General features: G+C 43.6%; 1 protein-coding gene across 2 annotated transcripts in view, besides 1 other annotated feature; it reads left to right on the top strand.

Moving 5' to 3' along the window:
• ATP13A4 (ATPase 13A4) overlaps nt 1-9,114 on the top strand; it is a 194,153-nt gene extending 185,039 nt beyond the window's left edge. For both annotated transcript variants that reach the window (XM_047449063.1, NM_032279.4), the window contains 2 exons: nt 688-768; nt 5,217-9,114. In XM_047449063.1, coding sequence (XP_047305019.1) covers nt 688-768; nt 5,217-5,429 — 294 coding nt within the window. In that variant the 3' untranslated portion in view covers nt 5,430-9,114. The remainder of the gene's footprint in view (nt 1-687; nt 769-5,216) is intronic.
• Nucleotides 18,258-18,826: an enhancer, noted in NCBI's record as "OCT4-NANOG hESC enhancer chr3:193107044-193107612 (GRCh37/hg19 assembly coordinates)". NCBI's record gives its function as "activates a minimal SCP1, AML or CMV promoter by ChIP-STARR-seq in primed H9 embryonic stem cells {active_cell/tissue: H9 hESC(primed)}" and the evidence as "EXISTENCE:reporter gene assay evidence [ECO:0000049][PMID:30033119]".

The raw sequence follows: 18,826 nt of genomic DNA, 5'->3' as shown, positions 1-18,826 counted from the left end.
TCACCATACATATATATCAGGCATGTGCCTGGAAGGGGTTGGGGAAGACACAGAGAAAATGGGCAAAGGGACAGGTCATGACAAGCTTGATTTCAGCTCCATTTGCTCCTTTGGCAAGGGCCCTTGTGAGGGCACACTGTGCAGCTGGATGCACAGTCCTGAGGGTGAAGCCCTGAGCCAGTGCTAAAGGCAGGGCTTGGCTGGGGAGAGACGGGACACCAGGGAGAAGAGGGCAATGCTGCCCAGTTGTGAAGGTTTGACATGGGTACCATCAGGCCTCCTGGGGATAAAGCCACATTCCTGCCTCCCTTTTGAAAACAAAACAAAGCAAGCAAACAAAGAGTGATTTTCCTCTTCTTTTCTAATTGCAAAGTGACCAAAGTTATTTTAGGAAATTTAGAAATCATAGAGAAACACACACACATCACAAGAAGAAAAAAAGATAAAAGAAGAAAAGCAACACTCATAACCCCCCCAAATCATTAGGATCATAAGTATAACCTTTCCGTACTTTTTCTGTGCATACAAGCATAGAAATTTTTTATATATATAAGATATATGTAATATACACACATATATATTACATATGAGATTTATAACCTAGGAAAATATATGCTGTGAACATGTGAGCATGTTTCCAGCATCTGCGTGTCTTCAGACTAACTGTGCTTCATCATCTCCCGCCAGCTGCTCTGCACTCCCGTCCTGTGGAGGGCCTCCATTGTCATCATGCTCAGCTTGAATTTCATTGTGTCCCTTGTGGCCGAGGTAAGTGTGCTGATCTTGGGCTGCTGATCTTGTGTGTGTGCACGCATGTGTGTAGGGGGACTTCTTTGGGACTCTGAAAACAACAACTTTAGCTGACATGGACTCAGCAGTGCAGGGGCTCCCTTCCTTCACAGTATAAGCAATGGTGCCTTCCTCTGATGAGTCCCAAGCAGGACGTTAGTTTTCTCATCTGTCAAGTAGGGCGGGGGAGAATGGAATTATGGTCTCTAAGGTCCTGTTCATTTCTACAATTTCCAAATAAAGACCCAACACAATTTACTTTTTAAAATTGAGATATGATTCACGCACCATAACATTCACCCTTTTAAAGTCCACAATTCAGTAGTGTTTAGTGCACTCACTGAGTTGTACAGCCATTAACGCTACTTAATTGCAGGACATTTTCATCATCGCTAAAGAAATCCTGTACCTACTAGCCGTTGCTCTTCATTGCCCCTTCTGCCTTCTCCTGGGCCTTGGTAATCACTATTCTACTTTCTGACTGTGTGGATTTGACTTTTCTGGACATTTCATATAAGTGAAACCATACAATATGTGGCCTTTTGTGTGTGGCTTCTTTCACTTAACTCATATCATTTTTGCCTTGCGGATGGGAAATAACATTCATAGTGAGCTTTTCCGGCTTTCATTCTCCAGCTTCCATTTGCTCCATTTTCTAGCTTTTATTCTTCAGCTCCCCTGTGCTCCATTTCCTCAGTGAAATGAGCTTGTGCTCCTGCTTTCTTTCTCCACGTGATTCACGCTCTCCCTGCTCAGTACTACCAGACACAATATCCATTCTTCAAAGCCTGTTGGTAGGCAGGGGTGCCCTGAAAAGGCATTTATGAACAAAGGAGAGGTGAGATGCAGAATTCCATCTGTCTCTATTTCTGCTCTGGGATACAGAACTAGAATTATTCCTGCAAATGGAGTGTTCATGGTGAGCTGTGAGAACCTACAGCCTGACTTCCCTGCAGTATTGTGTAGGCAGGACCTCAATGAGCTCTCCCTGCTTACTCCTATGCAGAGTGAAGGCTGCACAGGAGCTGGTGGCAGAACAGGACACAGAATTTCAGTACTGGAACTTCTCTCTATATGCTAAACAAGAGCTTCTCAAACTTGAGTGGGCATCAGAATCACCTGGGAGGCTTATTAAAACACACGTTGCCCAGCCCTACCCGCAGTGTGTCTGATTCAGTAGGCCTGGAAGAAGTGCAAAAGTTAGCATTTCTAACAGGTTGTCAGGGGATTCTGATGAGACTAGTTCAGGGATCACACTTTGAGAAGCAATATGCTAAACCATATGGTCTCTAAAGCAACCAGATTAATAAAAGAGCATTATCACGGGTGTCCTCAGACCCAGTGGCAGAATGATGGTCTTTGCCCTTTAGAGGGGGATCTAGTGTATACATCTTATCCCTGTTCGTGATCACAGGATTCTCTCTGTGTGGTGTATGTTTCCTCCATTTCCGCATATTAAAGTGCTATTCCATCCTCTACAGCACAGCTGTAGTAGTATCCTCTTCATGTATCTTTCCTGATCTCTGGATCAGGTAGGCAAGTAACGACTTAACTAACAGTGGCTTAAATAATAAAGATGTTTATTGACTCAAGAAGAAGACTGAAGGTAGGTGGCTTCAGGACTGGCTTAGTAACTCAGTAGTGTCACTGGGAATCCACACTCTTTCACCTTTCTCTTCTACTCTCCTTCGATGTGGTCTTTCATGTTTGTGCACGTGATTATGGTGTCCAGATAGCTTCCACAGAGCCGGACTTTACATCTGTTTTCAGTGCAGGAAGAAAATGGAAGGAGAGGCCACAGCAAGCCTATTTCCAGCAAGTCTGAACCTTTTCTTGAGAAACAAACTTTTCCTGAAGCTCACCAGCAGACTTCCTTTTATGCTTTATCGATTACACTTGTGTCTCATGGTCATCATGAGTAGAAAAAGATTCTGGGAAAGTGGATCCATGTCAAAAGTTAGACAATTTGGCTTAGACCACTTATTATCATTATTTTTCCCTTTTAGGTGGGAAGGGAAGAGTTGGGAGGGAATGGGCTGTATGGTAATGAAGTATCAAAGTCTTCCTTAATCCTCTAGCAGGAAGTTCTTCCTTTTTCAGCATATTTGCAGTTAAGAGCACAAGCTCGGGGTAATCTACGTGGGTGGGTTCGAATCCTGGCTCCACCACTTTCTTGCTCTCTGACTTTGGGCAAATTATTCCACTTATCTAATCTCTGATCAGCCCTGAAAACAAACAGGTTTGAGCAGGACCTTATCCTTACTATGCCAGTGCTCATGATCGAACCTCCAGCTGAGAGGCATGAGAGGTAGTGTGGATAGCTTTAATTGCCCCCACCTTTAAAACAATTATTGATGTGTTTATATAGGTATGCTTGTATGTATGAGTTATTTGAGTAGCCAGTCAGAAGCGCTCATGTGGCGAAATTTTTTTAAAGAAATGTCTCACTAAGGCTTTCGTTTTTTTCTAGTTGTATTTTAGTCCATTCTCCCACTGCTGTGAACAAATACCTGAAACGGGGTAATTTATGAAGGAAAGAGGTTTAATTGGCTCATGGTTTTGCAGGCTGTACCAGAAGCATGGCTGGAGAGGCCCCAAGAAACTTTCAATCATGGCGGAAAGCAAAGGGGAAGCAGGCAGGTCTTACATGGCCCGAGCAGGAGGAAGAGAGAGAAGGGGAAGGTGCTACACACTTTTAAACAATCAGATCTCATGAGAACTCACTCACTATCACGAAAACAGCAAGAAGGAAATCCATCCCTACGACCCAGTCACCTCCCATCCAGCCCTTCCTGCAACATTGGGGATTATATTTCAGCACGAGATTTGGATGGAAATACAAATTCAGATCATGTCACTAGTTCTGCCTTGTATTTATAATGTGCGGTAACAGGACAGATCACCTCTCTGTAGTTTCCTCTTCCAGAGCAGCAAGGTGATACAGGTCATCAGAGTCCAGAACTAAAAAACACTGAAGGCAAGATGTAGAGATGGAGAGCACCAAAGTTTCTCTCTCTGTGTGTGTGTGTGTGTGGTTTCATCTATTTTGTTTTAAGGTTTGCTAAGGTTTCCTTGAAGTAAGTAAGATTTTAAAACCTTTACTCGATGCTCCTGCCTTATCCCAGCTCTAAGAAGAACTACTGTTTTCACGTCAATTAAGGAGGACAAAAAAACCTTGCTGCAGGAAAGTAGAATAACTCATCTGGCTAAGTTTCCAAGAGGCTGAGACGGTTATATGGATCTTTAACAGCCCCGCAGCCAGCAGATGGTCAGTTATCACAGGAATAATGCAGACTGGCTGTTCTCTATCCTTTCATGGGCAGTGGAACCTAAATGGCAAAAATGGGTAGATTTTAGGAAAACTACTATATCTGGCAAAGTTCCTTATAGAATCTCACAGAATTAACTCTTTCAAATTAGCAAAGATAGACATGAAAATCAGTTCTAATTCTGTGGGACAGTTTCACGTCCCATATTTTTTCTTTGTTTCTTTCACAATAACCTCTAAGATGGTCAATCTTTGTGAGCAAACATGATAAAAGTGGAAAATTAATATGATAACCTCTCATGAATTATAAGTTATAACTTGGGCTCTATTCAAGGCTCACTCTAACTCATGAAATAAAATGGCATTGCAAAATGTTTTCAAAGAGACATGTCTTTTGTAATCTTAATACTGTATTTCAGTGAAGGTGAAGGTTAGAGGCATGTGTGAACAGGACCACAGTGCATAGCCATTTGTTAAATGAGTAGTTCCAAAGGGTAGGCAAAGGGAGAGAGCTATGCCCTGCCCTGCCCTGCATTGTAAAGGGAGTTATATAAGCCTTACAACAAACATAAGGAAGGGATTATTCTAATCACGGAGACATGGATAGAGTAACTAATTTGCCCATAATAGGTGTCAGAACTGGGACCTAAATCCAGATCTGTTCAACTCCAAGACTGGCCCGTGTGAAATTAAATATGCAGTGATATGTCAGGATATATCAAAAACATGTCATACATGGGCCACATCTTTATATAGGGTCAATTGTGTTTAGTATTTAGTAGTAATTTTAATGTCATTTTATATTAAACAAAATATAGATGTGCTATAGAGTGAAACATAGAATTTGAATGATTTTAAATTCAATTTAGATGTGAGATTCAAAAGAAACTTCATTTTTGAGGCAAGCCATTTCAAGTTATGTTCCCAGAGTCTTGAAATGTTGTACCTCTTACTTCTCCCACAGGAGTTACTTAAGTAGAAACGTTTGAGAAACCAATACCTGTCCAATGAAACCACCTTAGATTGGTCCAGTGGTCAAGCTCTTTGTCAAGCTGGATCTAAGCAACCATTGCAGTAGTGACTTATGATGGCCTGTGGAGGGCTGTAGCCTCAAAACACTCAACCCTTGCTTGTAAAAAGTAATTATTTTATTTTGCAGGAGGCTGTTATTGAAAATCGAGCCCTGTGGATGATGATTAAAAGATGTTTCGGCTATCAGTCAAAAAGCCAGTATCGGATATGGCAGAGGGACTTGGCAAATGACCCTAGTTGGCCCCCGCTAAACCAAACCTCCCACTCTGACATGCCGGAGTGTGGCAGAGGAGTGTCTTACAGCAATCCAGTATTTGAGAGCAATGAAGAACAACTCTGAAGGACATGTGATATCCAAGTTGATATTACAGAGAAACAATGACAAAAGGGACCAGTTTCATTGATTTTAAGAAATGAGACTCTTGTAACATCAGCTGGAGTTTTGGGGCTACCTATCAAATCATGGTGACAAACTAAAGTCTGTTTGATAAAATACTGTCTACAGAGAAGAACATTGACCCAGAAGAGTGCTTTCCTCTTGGCTTCTGAAGGTATTAGAGGCATTCAGTGAAGGCAAGAATGGGCCAAGAATTTCTATGGGCCAAGAGACAAGCAGGCTAAAGGGGAAAAATATGTGATCTTTCCTCTTAGGACAGGACAATACTTTCCTTTTTATAAAAATGAGTTGAGGGGAAGTAGTACTGTGTATACTCACGGAGTTGTAATTTTTGAATTTTTACTTCATCGATGGAAAAACTAATGCGTGGGAAACATTACACCAATCTTTACTGTCTGGGTTCCTTTTCTCTGTAGTACTTTTCAGATTTGAGGCTTTTTCTTCTGTTTCTGGCCTTACCCAACATATTGTTAAGGATAAGCTTAGCCTATGCTGCAATAAAAAACAACTCTCAGATATCAGTGCCTTAACACACAAGTGCTTCTTTCGTGATCCAGGTGACACTCTGGAACTGCCATTCTTACAGCAGTGACTGCTTCAACCTGATGGCTCCATCAGCTCGATGCAAGGACTGTGTGTTGACTGTGATGGGGGAAGGAATAGACTGGAGATCACGTGTGGGCTCTTCACTGCCTCACCCCAAAAGTGGCACACATTGCTTTCCCTACTCATATCTCATTAGTCAAGGATTTGGCCAGGGAGCTGGAAAGTGCAGTCTCCTGTGTTTAGGGATGCTTCATGGGCTTATGAGCTGTCACTACACAGGGCCCCATGCTTAGAAGGTCCCCACACTTGGCTTTAACACTCTGCTGTTTCCATCTTAAAATTCTTAATTTTTGAACAGGGGTCCCCATATTTTCATTTTGTACCAGGCCCCACAAATGATAGAGTTGGTCTGGAACGTAGTCCTGGGAAGGAGAGGAAAATAACAGATCAGAAAGCACGAGTGCTGTCCACTACAGCCCACTTTTCCTAACCCCAGTAACTTATCCTATGTTTTAGGAATCTCTCATGTCACATGGCCAACTCCAGAAATTTTCACTCCTCTGCTTTATTATTTTTGAGAAACATTAGTCTCATGCTACAGCATTATATGGCACTATTGATGGGAGTTCTTACACAACTAGTACATTTTTTTTTTAAAGTTTGTGGCTTGAGTTTCCAGAAAACTAAAATTGTCCTTATTTTGTCACTATTACAATTTGGTTATATTTGATTTGTTCAGCACAAGGAAGACTCAGGTTTCTGTTACCTCAGGAGACAACACTGAACTCTAGGAGCACACCTACATATAATATTTTAAGGCAAAAGCAAAATTTGTATTATGAGCATCAAATCCTAGGTGAATGTTCTGATCAGGGGATAAGTGTCCTGGCCCAGGCTGGCTTTGGAACTTATCAATAGCATTTGCAAGCATTCCTTCCCCCTAACTGAGCTCTTGAGCATGGCTGATGGCTCTATGATTGCAGCTGATTCTAGGAACATGGTGTCTCCCAGCCATGAGGGTACCCTGTTACTTCTGGTTTTAAAATAGGGCGTGAAGATATTTTAGTGTTTCAAGACTGCAGAATCACTGTCTTTTTTGGTACAGAAAGAAATGTTTCCTTTTGCAAAGCCAGCCTCAGCAATGATATGGCAGTTCTGAATGTCCTTCTCTAAAAGTGTTTCTCATTTTCCAAAAGTAGAGGGTTGTAGGCAGGGGCAAGCTAGAGATGGTCTGTGACCTAGTCATGAGCAAGATCAGCCTGCACAGTTCATACTTAAATGTGCCCTTTGCTAAGTGCATTCACCTCCACTAACTCACCTGAATGGTACCAATTGTCCCATGACTGAACAAGGAAGGGCTTATCATCTCCACCATACAGATGAGAAAGCTGAGATTCAGTAATGGCAAGAGCAGATCTAGGCCTCAAATACAGATCTTCTGAGCAAACCTTATATTGCTGCCAAATACTTCCAAATTCCAGAGTTCCAGCAGGGCAGGTTGCTTAGTGTGATCTCACAGTCAAGCAAAGAATGGGCAACCCTTTGCTAATACCAGGCCCTCTGTTCAAATGAATGCCAGGCATCCTGCCAGGCCTGGGCTAGAGGTGTATTAAAAACAAAACAAAACAAAACAAAAAAATGATTGTCTGTCTTTCTGAGACTTTGAGTTGCTCTTGCCTTGATCCTAAGTGATTCTATCACTAGCAAAGGCTGGCAGGGAACAGGAAGAAAAGAATCTAGTCCTCCACTAGTCAAGCAGCCATAAAATCTTTGGGAAAAGAGACTCATTTTGAAGACTGTATTCCTGGGATTAACTACATCTTAGAAGCAGTAATTGAAGGAACAGGGAGTGCCCAGCCTGGAAAGAAAACAGTCAGGGGACTGTGAAGGGTTTTCCTGAGAAAGAAGGATCCTACTTGTGCCAGGTGGCATGAGAAGGCAAAATCAGGACAAATGGGTAAAGATCACAGTGGGGATGGCTTCAGGCCATCTGCCCTAACCACTGTCCTAACAGCCAGCACTGATAGCAGTGGAATGTACTCTAGGACATTGGAGGAACAAGTGGCTATTCAAGGGCCAAGTAGAGAAGGAAGTCAAGTATCAGATGAAACTCAATTACCTGCAAGATCTCTTTCAAGCTTGATACACCCAGTGTCTCAGTCTTATGCTGTGATGTGAACCTTTTTTTTTTTTTTTTTTTTTTGAGATGGAGTCTCACTCTGTTGCCCAGGCTAGAGTGCAGTGGCACAATCTCGGCTCACTGCCAGCTCCGCCTCCCGGATTCACACCATTCTCCTGCCTCAGCCTCCCAAGTAGCTGGGACTACAGGTCTGCCACCATGCCCGGCTAATTTTTTGTATTTTTAGTAGAGATGGGGTTTCATCATGTTAGCCAGGGTGGTTTCAATCTCCTGACCTCGTGATCCGCCCGCCTCGGCCTCCCAAAGTGCCGGGATTACAGACATGAGCCACCAGATGTGAACTATTTTCTACTACTACCCACACAGAATACCAGACAGACACTCATGGGAGGATGGGCTCTGGAGGGAGGGCTCCCAGCCTTGTCAGATCCGATTGTGTGGACATATAGACTCAATTGCCCTGTACCTTGAAAGGGGACCCCTAATGGAGATAAGATCCTAGGAAAGAGGGGCAGAGTAGGGGTCCTGATTGTCAGATTGAAGCTGGGGTAATACTTCTGATTTGTGAATTTTCTTAAAGAGAGGTGTTAAAAAACTTTGCATGAAAGAGCGTGGGAGAGTGCCCTAAACTTGAGGGCGGAGCAACCTGTTATCAATACACTTTCTTGAGCAGAGTCTGAAGGAGAAACGAACACAGTCACATAGTCCAAATCATTTGAGACGGTGCCCTGTATGTTCATCTCAAGGCATCTAGCTCTTACCCACAGAGAACCGTGACTCTGGGCTTCCCTCACTAAATATGTCTGTGACATCTGTATCCTTATGTGCTTATGGAAATGTTCACATACACACCTGCAGATGTGATGACTGAAAAAAACGATTATTTATTCAGAGCTTTGTATTTAGTTTATGCTATAATAAATTCAGTTGTTATAAAAATCAGTCTCTCTCTCTGCGGTGGAGTCTTTCATTCTGTCTAATGGTGTGGTTTACTCCAGTAATGTTGAATCAAACAACATCTTTACAAAGTTCCAGGCATTTTCTAACACCACAGATGCTATTATTCTCTGCTTTATACACAGGGCATTAGAGTTTACAAAATACTTTCATCCTTGTTCTCTCATTTAAGCCTCGTTAACAACCTTAGGAGGAAAGAAAGGCAAGGATTACTGTCTCTCTTCTTTTGATGAGGTACAAGGCTCTCCAGATGTCTCAGCAACCAGGACACATGGCCCATGGATGGAGGAGCTGGATTCAGATGCAGGTCCTTTATCAGCGAGATCCCTGCTGTGTCACTCTCCTATGTTGTTTTTCCTGAATGAAAAAAGAAGAGAAAAACCGTAGCATTGAAAAACAAGACGACAGCGAGGCAAATGTCCAATGTAATTGCCATAATGAGCACAGTTTCTTCCAGAAAGAGATTTTGGTGTTTCATGGAAGTTCTCTTGAACCTGACCATCAATCACAGAAAAGGCCAACTCCCACAGCTGAGGGAGGAAAATCATAACACCAGAGCCCTGTGAGCCCATTTCATGTGATTGGATAAAGCTCTGGTTTCTGACTTCAGTCTCCAGAAACAGAAAACTATATCCCTGCTTGATCTTTATTCAGACTTGCTTGGCACAGCTTTTCAGGTTCCTATAGATTTTCTTTTGGCTTTGAACTGTGCTCACTTCTCTATGCATAAACATTTGGAAAACTGCTGCCCTATAACATTCTGTCTGCCCTTTGGTTTCCATTAGACTTGTTAACAATGGCCTTTAAACTTTATTAGTAAAGTGAGTTTCTCCAAAATTAAACAAAGATAAAATTAACAACAAAACACAACTCTCCCGGAGTTGATGAAAGAGCCTTAGGAGTGAGCCACATGGCTTTGTCAAACACTCTGAGCTTGCTCTATCCTCAGGAAGACTGCATTTGCCATCCTCTCTGCCTTGAATGCTGCCCGCCACCAACCCCCTGTTGCCATTCCTGATTCCTTCTCCTTCAGATTTCAGCTCACTTGTCACTTCTTCCAAGAAGCCTTCCCTGACCACTCTGTCTAATGTTGCTCTTGCTCTACTACCGTGGTTTGTTTTCTGCATAATGCCTGTGCCACCCTTCAGATGACCAAGGCTGAACGAGTACTACTTGTTCAAGAACCCATAATGGGGAAATGAATGAGCTGAGTCTATAATCTAGACCTACTGACTTCCAAATCAAGGTTCTTTACATTTTTCACATCTAGCCAGATTCTGCTAATTAAATTAGCTAATCTGTCAGGGAAAAGAATGCAGGATGCTGCAGAGCATTGTCCATGGTTGGATGAAAAGCACTCAAAGAGTCATCCAGACTCTCCCAGCTCTTTTCCTTGCTGTCTTGACTTCGAAGTGTTTCAATGCCAAGAAAAATCTGATAAGTCACTGACCTGTGATAAAGGCTGCACACATACTTACCGTGGACATTCTGCTGAGTTTAAAATTGTGGTTAAAGGGGGTTACACTGCAGAGAGGTCTCACATGTGTTGTACGTATTTCACACTGTACAGTCCTAGGAGGCACCATTCATATTGTGCTGCAAGCCCAGGGTGATGGTTTTGCATCATATCGAGGAAGTTTTGTGGGTAAATGATGGCTTTTACCTTTGTAATTACAAACACATATATGCAATGAAAAGTCCCACCTGGGCCTGCTACAAGCAATTCCTAAGTCCTAGACCCTCTCTTGGCAGTGTCTCTTGTGCAGAACTTCCTCTCCTCTAAGCCCTTGGTTGTCACCACCTGCCTGATTACAAGAGCCTCTTAAGTAGTCTCCCTGACTGAGATCTTTCTTCTATTTTTTCTTCTCGAAGTCTCTATCTATTCTATTGCACAACTCTGATGATGTCATGTCCATGGCCAGAAACCCTTAATGGTCTGAAGTGTCTACCAGATAAAGTACACATTGCTTACTAAGGATTTCAAGTCCTTCTCCACTGGCCACATCTGGTTTCATCTCAGATCTTTTCCCTTATTGCCTTCTCTACTTCAGCAAACTGAATTTCCTATTACTCTCAGCACTCAGTCCTCACTTTCCCACCTCAATAGCTGATATGGTTTGGCTCTGTGTCCCCACCCAAATCTCACCTTGAAGTGTAATCCTCATGTGTCAAGGGTGGGACCACGTAGAGGTAATTGGATCATGGGGGCAGTTTCCCTCATGCTGTTCTTGTGACAGTGAGTGAGTCTCATGAGATCTGATGGTTTTATAAGTGTCTGGCATTTCTCCTGCTGGCACTCACTCCATCGTGCTGCCCTGTGAAGAAGGTGCCTGCAGCTGGGTGCGGTGGCTCATGTCTGTAATCCCAGCACTTTAGGAGGCCAAGGCGGGTGGATCATCTGAAGTCAGGAGTTCAAAACCAGCCTGGCCAATATGGCAAAACCCCGTCTCCACTAAAAATACAAACATTAGCTGGGCATGAAGGCGCCTGTAGTCCCAGATGCTTAGGAGGCTGGGACAGGAGAATTGCTTCAAGCCAGGAGGCAGAGGTTGCAGTGAGCTGAGATCTGCCACTGCACTCCAGCCTGGGCAACAGAGTGAGACTCTGTCTCAAAAAAAAAAAAAAAAGTGCATCCTTTACCTTCTGCCATGATTGTAAGTTTCCTGAGGCCTCCCCAGCAATGTGGAACTGTAAGTCAGCTAAATCCCTTTCTTTTATAAGTTACCCAGTCTCAGGTATTTCTTCATAGCAGTGTGAGAACAAACTACTACAGTAAATTGGTACCGAAATGGTAGGGCGCTACTATAAGGATACCTGAAAATGTGGAAGCAATTTTGGAACTGAGTAACAGGCAGAGGGTGGAACAGTTTGGAGGGCTCAGAAGAAGACAGCAAGATGTGGGAAAGTTTGGAACTTTCTAGAGACCTGTTGAATGGTTGTCACCAAAATGATGATAGTAATATGGACAATGAAGTCCAGGCTGAGGTGGTCTTAGCTGGAGATGAGGAACTTCTTGGGAACTAGAGCAAAGGTGACTCTTGGTATGCTTTAGCAAAGAGACTGGTTGGCATTTTGCCCCTGCCCTAGAGATCTGTGGAGCTTTGAACTTGAGAGAAAAATGATTTAGGATATCTGGCAGAAGAACTGTCTAAGCAGCAAAGCATTCAAGAGAAAGCAGAGTGTAAAATTTTGGAAAATTTGCAGGCTGATGATGCAATAGAAAAGAAAAACCAATTTTCTGGGAAGAAATTCAAGCCTACTACAGCAATTTGCCATAAGTAACAAGGAGCTGAATGTTAATCACCAAGACAATGGGAAAATGTCTCCATGGCATGTCCATGGGGAAAATGTCCTTCATGGCAGCCCCTGCCATCACAGGCCCAGAGGCCTAAGAAGGAAAAATGGTTTCCTGGTCTGGGTTCAGGGCCCCCTTCCTCTGTGCAGCCTCCGGACATGGTGCTCTGATTCCCAGCTGCTTCAGTCCCAGCTGTGGCTAAAAGAGGCCAATGTACAGCTCAGGCTGTTGCTTCAGAAGGTGCAAGCCCCAAACCCTTGCGGCTTACACATGGTATTGGGTCTGTGGGTGCACAGAAGTCAAGAATTAAGGTTTGGGAACCTCCACCTACATTTCAGAGGATGTATGGAAACACCTGGGTGTCCAGGCAGATGTTTGCTGCAGGGGCAGAGCCCCCATGGAGAACCTCTGCTACAGCAGTGTGGAAGGGAAATGTGGGGTTGGAGGCTTCACAAAGAGTCCCCTCTGGGGCACTGTCTGGTGGATCTGCGAGAAGAAGGCCAACATCCTCCAGACCCCAGAAGGGTAGATCCACTGACAACTTGCACTGTGAGCCTGGAAAAGCCACAGGCACTCAACACTAGCCTATGAAAGCAGTCAGGAGGGGGCCTGTACCCTGCAAAGCCACAGGGAGCTTGGGCAGAGCTGCCCAAGGCTGTGGGAGCTCACCTTTTGCATCAGCATGACCTGGATGTGAGACAGGAGCCAAAGGAGATCATTTTGGAATTTTAAGGTTTAATGACTGCCCGACTGGATTTTGGACTTGCATGGGGCCTGTAGCCCCTTTGTCTTGGTCCAATTTCTCCCATTCAGAATGGGTGTATTTACCCAATGCCTGTACCCACATTATATCTAGGAAGTAGCTAATTTGGTTTTGATTTTACAGGCTCGTACCTGGAAGGGACTTGCCTTGTCTTAGGTGAGACTTTGGACTTGAACTTTGGGTTAATGCTGGAATGAATTAAGACTTCGGGGGACCATTGGAAGGGTGTGATTGTGTTTTGAAATGTGAAGACATGAGATTTGGGAGGGCCCAGGGGCAGCATGATGTGGTTTGGCTCTGTGTCCCCACCCAAATCTCACCTTGAAGTGTAATCCCCGTAATCCCCATGTGTTAAGAGTGGGACCAGGTGGAGGTAATTGGATCATGGGGCAGTTCCTGCCATGCTGTTCTCATGATAGTGAGTGAGTCTCACAAAATCTGATGATTTTATACATGTCTGTCATTTCCCCTGCTGCCACTCACTCCATCCTGCTGCCCTGTGAAGAAGGTGCCTGCTTCTCCTTTACCTTCCACCATGATTGTAAGTTTCCTGAGGCCTCCTTAGCGATGCAGAACTGTGAGTCAATTAAACCTCTTTCGTTTATAAATTACCCAGTGTCAGGTATTTCTTCATAGCAGTGTGAGAATGGACTAATGTAATACCTTGGCTCGTGTTTTCTCTTTTGGGGCATCAGTAATTCTTACTTTCATCTTGACACATCCAAATCCCACTCATTTCTCAGTAATAATATCCCATTAGAATACCACCTGACCTGCCAAGCCAGAAAGAAGCTCTCTTTTTCTACACAACCATCACGTTCTACATATCTATCCTTTGTGTGGCATGCAGTTTTGTTGTTGTTGTTGTTGTTGTTTTTGCCTTGCATCATGGTCCTGTAGTGCCTTAACATACCATATCTCCCACCCACCCAACCCCACTTCAACTAGAGAGTACATTCTGTGAGGCTAGGGGCCAGGCCTGAGTTGTCTCATCTTCCCATCCTTCACCTAGCACAGAGCTATGGTTAGGGGCTCGGCAAGCAGCTGTCACATGATTACATAAAAAATGTAATCATTGGGATATTTTGTTGATTTATTTCTCATCCTTTGTCTGTGAACATCTGTTTTTCATCCAGTACACTGAAGCTTAACTCAACAATAGGGCTATGAATAAAAACAACTAGAAGTATAAAGTATAGTGATTTCAATGTTGTGTTTAATAAGTTTGGCTATTTATATAGTGAGGATGTAGAAGTGTGGTGTGGAATTATAAGAGTTAGGTGTGTGCTACAAAGACTATCTCAATGTGTAGAAGACACCACAGGCTTATTTGCATGAGAGTGCAAGGGCCCACATAGGAAGATACTAAACCCCAAAGAAGATAAAAGATAAAGAGTTGAGCCAAACAAACTTGTTGAAACCCAAACATTGGATATAAGGGAAAGCGCAAAGTTTGAGGACAATGGGGTATGAATTTTTCCGTCTGTGGCCTGGTTTCACCCTATCTTTAGGACTCTTGCAAGGACCATTGGAAAAGAAAGCTATGACAAAAAAAGTTATGTAGAGATAGAGACAGACAGACACACACACACATACGTGTATGTGTGTGTGTGTGTGTATACATATATATGAAGCATGCGCAAGAGAGATCCACCCTGTGATCTGTGGTCTGCATGTCAGAGTGTAATAAAAGCAAGGTGGAGAAAATCCCCCTGTGGCCTCCGTCACCTGGCAGTGATGTGACTGTGGGAACACAAGTGGAAGATGTGTGTTTCTTTTTTTTTCTTTCTTCTTTTTTTTGAGGCAGAGTTTTACTCTTATTGCCCAGGCTGGAGGGCAATGGTGCAATCTTGGCTCACTGCAACCTCTGCCGGGTTCAAGCAATTCACCTGCCTCAGCCTCCCGAGTAGCTGGGATTACAGGCACCCACCACCACGCCTGGCTAATTTTGTATTTTTAGTAGAGACGGGGTTTCACCATGTTGGTCAGGCTGGTCTCGAACTCCTGACCTCAGGTGATCCACCCACCTTGGCCTCCCAAAGTGCTGGGATTACAGGCATGAGCCACCACCCAAGAGATGTGTGTTTCTAGTGGCTGATGCTGTCACACACAGAAGTACAGGTGACATAAAGAGTCTTCGCATATCTATAAGCGGCTAAAGGAGAAAGAAAGTGGTTAAGAGAGATAGAGAAGGGCCAAGGATGATACAGGGTATCTGTGCACATCATGGAGGCCTGGGGTCCCCTGCCACCAACCTCAGGGTCAGGCAATGCCCCCAGCAAGCCTGACCATGGAAGCAGCCGTGACAATCTCGAAGCAGTGGCCTGTGGCCACACAGACTGTGAGAGGGAAGGGCATGGTGTCACAGGAGCACAGCACACTGTGCAGCACGTGCGGAGGATCCCTGTGAACCTCTCAATGACTCAGGAGGGACTCCAGAGCAGTGGAGTTTCCAGGGTCCCATTTTTGACTATGGTCCCGGGTTTACATGGCCACGGAAACACAGGTTATAAGATAGGAAAGACATCTCCCCACAAGGTGAATGCCCACTTGGTGAAAGTCCGCACGAGGACGGTCACAGGGAGAATCCTCTCAGAAAGCACCGCAGAGCCTCAGGGCCACCATGTGTTCCTGGTGTGCTCAGGAACTAAACACAATACAAGATGGAGTGACTCCCAGCTGGCTGAGTGCTCTTCCTGAAAGCCGAGCCAGTTTTCTCTTGACCCAGCCCAAGGTTAGCCTTGAGAATTTCATAAAGGCTTAAATAGCCTCAGGAATTCAGTCACAATGCATGACTAATTGGTAACTTGATCTGGGGATAATTTTGTAGGCTTGGATACTCCCTAGATGGTTCCTGGAATCCAGGTGGTCTGGATGCCAAGAGTTATACATGGGAAAATCCAAATCTTTGTGTCTGCCCACATCTCAGTCTCGTGCAGCAGTCAGGGAGCTTCACAGGTGGCCCAGGGCACAGTGGGTGGCTCAAGGCAGCAGGAGTCTAGCTGTACGTAGGCCTGTGTGGGGGCAGAACTGGCCTTGGGGGCATTGGATGCCATGCTAGCCAAAGCCTCAGACTTTGACCAGTGTCCCAAGTCTGACCTTATCATTAGAGGCCACACAGTTCTTCAACAAAGTTCATCTCAAAGGTGACCCTTTTGGGGCAGTGGCATATGGCAGGTTAAAGGTACAAGTTTAGGAATCAGACAGATTTGAGTTCTAATCCAGACTTCTCGGAGTTGCCGTTTTGAGCAAATTAGTCACTATGTCTGTGTCTTGGTTTCCTTCACTGTGAAATAGTAAGAAATACTATATTGATCCCCGACCCCAGTCTCTGTCACAGAGCTCCTAAAACCCTTGTAATTTCCTGAGCAACAAGCATGCCAGGAGAACCTTTTGTTCTAATGTTTAGTCTCTGTTCAGGTTCTGAGAGAGAGCTCCTAACACCCGTGCAGGTATGGGTGACAGGGGAATCCTTTGTTCTAGTATTTGGCTTTTGACCTCAATTCCTAATAAAGAGCTCCTAAATTCCTAGAAATTTCCTGGTGATAGGAACATCTTTTGTTCTAAAGAGGCAACTCTTAGTGGGCTCCTGGATAGGAACTGGCCACCAGAAAGACCAAGCCATAGTTAGAAGCTTGGAGCTTTCAGCCCTACTGTCCACTCACCAGAGAGGAGAGGGGCTGGAAGTGGACCTAATAATTTGTCATGCTTACATGATAAACCCTCCATACAAATGTCTGAACTATGGGGCTCAGAGAGCTTCCAGCTTGGCAAACACATCCACATGCAGGGAGGGTGGTGCGCCCCAACTCCACAGGGACGAAGCTCCTGGACTCGGGACCTTGCCAGACCTTGCCTGTGTATGTCTTCATCTGGCGGTTCATCTGTATCCTTTATTATATTTCTTAATAAACGGGTAAACACAAGTAAAGCATTTCCTGAGTTCTGTGAGTCATCCTAGCAAATTAATCAAACCCATGGAGGGGGTAATGGGACTCCCAGTTTATACCCAGTTGGTCAGAAGCATAGGTGACAACCTACAACTTGCAATGGGTGTGTGAGGTTGGGGCAGTCTTTTGAGACTAAGTCCTTAATCTGTGGGATTTCGTACTATCTCTAGGCAGATAGGGTCAGAATTCAATTGTATCATAGGACATCCAGCTGGTGTCCACTGGAGAACTGCTTGGCTTACATCTGATGTCAAAAGTGTTGTGTTGAGTGGTGTGTGAGAGTAGGGAAAACAATTTGTTTTTTCCTATATCTCCAATTGGCTATTGGTATGAAAATATTATTTATGATCTCATTGATAATAGCAAAAATCAAAGGAGATTAAATGTGGCACATAATTTCTTTTTCTTCATCTCTCAAACTTTAAGGAAGCTTCTTAAGTCTTGGCTTTACACATGATATAGCTATTTATTGTGTCGTGGGAGTCAGTAAAAGAACAAATTGAAGAATGCATGAATGAAGAATGAGTGAAATTAGTGAACATACTATTGACTTCCAGGAATTGAATGCATTTAATTCTATTTTAATGCAATTGTAGTTATCCATGTTTTGCTGTTTGTTTAAATTATGTTTTACTTAGACTGTTTATTCTTATTTTATTTAAATAACATACAGAGCAACCTACCTCTAGCCTTCGTTTGCAGATTTCACTACTTATGCTTTGAATGAGTAAGCTTTCTTTTGCAGCTCTTCTTATCCTATCATCTAACTATCCTGAAGAATGGTTTTTTAAACTGGCAGTTTCTGGATAATTTCCAAGTCTATGAGATCTCCCTTGAGATGCAAAGACCTGTGCAAGACAGCCCAGATTTGGACATATTTGTAGGTTATGTTTAGTTTTGTTGTTTTTTTTTTGTTGTTGTTGTTGTTTTTGCTGTCACGCCATGTGATAGCTTACTTTCTCCATAGAGTAGTCCACAGAAATTCATAGGCTTCTTTTTGGAACATGACTCTCCAACTTGACCCATCATGAAAATCCTCAAGGAGCTTATTAGAAATAAATTCCTGAGCCTGATGAGACATATATTGAATCATAATCTCTAGGATGGGTCTTGGGGAGCTATATCTTTATCAAGCTCTCCAGGTGATCTAACGATGGATCAGGTTTAGAAACCATAGTCCTAAAAGAACAACTTAGATTATTTTCTTTCAAATGTGCTATCTTGCACTTGTCCCTATGGAGACTCATCTACAATTTTTTCTGCCACTCACCCTGCATTGAGAGAACTTTTTGTGGTACATTTCCTTTGTAAATTCTGTTTGTCACTGTGCATTCTCTACCTTACATTACAAAAGCAGTCCCTGGTGAAAGGAAATCCTGCTGACAGACTTCTCTCCCTTGAGGTGCGCCCATTTATCCCTGCTCTTTGTTAGAGCTCTAAGTACTGAACTATTGACAAAACAATCACCTGGTGGCTGAGTTCAATGGGGAAAAGCATTGCCTTGATCCATGGACAAAAACACAGAATGGGGTTTAGTTACTTGTATTCTTCAAATTAGTTGAAAATTTATGCAAAAACTCCACAATATTTTTTTTTTCAGACGGAGTCTCACTCTGTCACCCAGGCTAGAGGGCAGTGGCGCAATCTTGGCTTACTGCAACCTCTGCCTCCCGGGTTTAATCAATTCTC

Source organism: Homo sapiens, chromosome 3, assembly GCF_000001405.40.
Source record: "Homo sapiens chromosome 3, GRCh38.p14 Primary Assembly".
Lineage (NCBI taxonomy): Eukaryota > Metazoa > Chordata > Mammalia > Primates > Hominidae > Homo > Homo sapiens.
The sequence above is the reverse complement of the archived record's forward strand: the minus strand, read 5'-3'. Positions and strand labels throughout refer to the sequence as shown.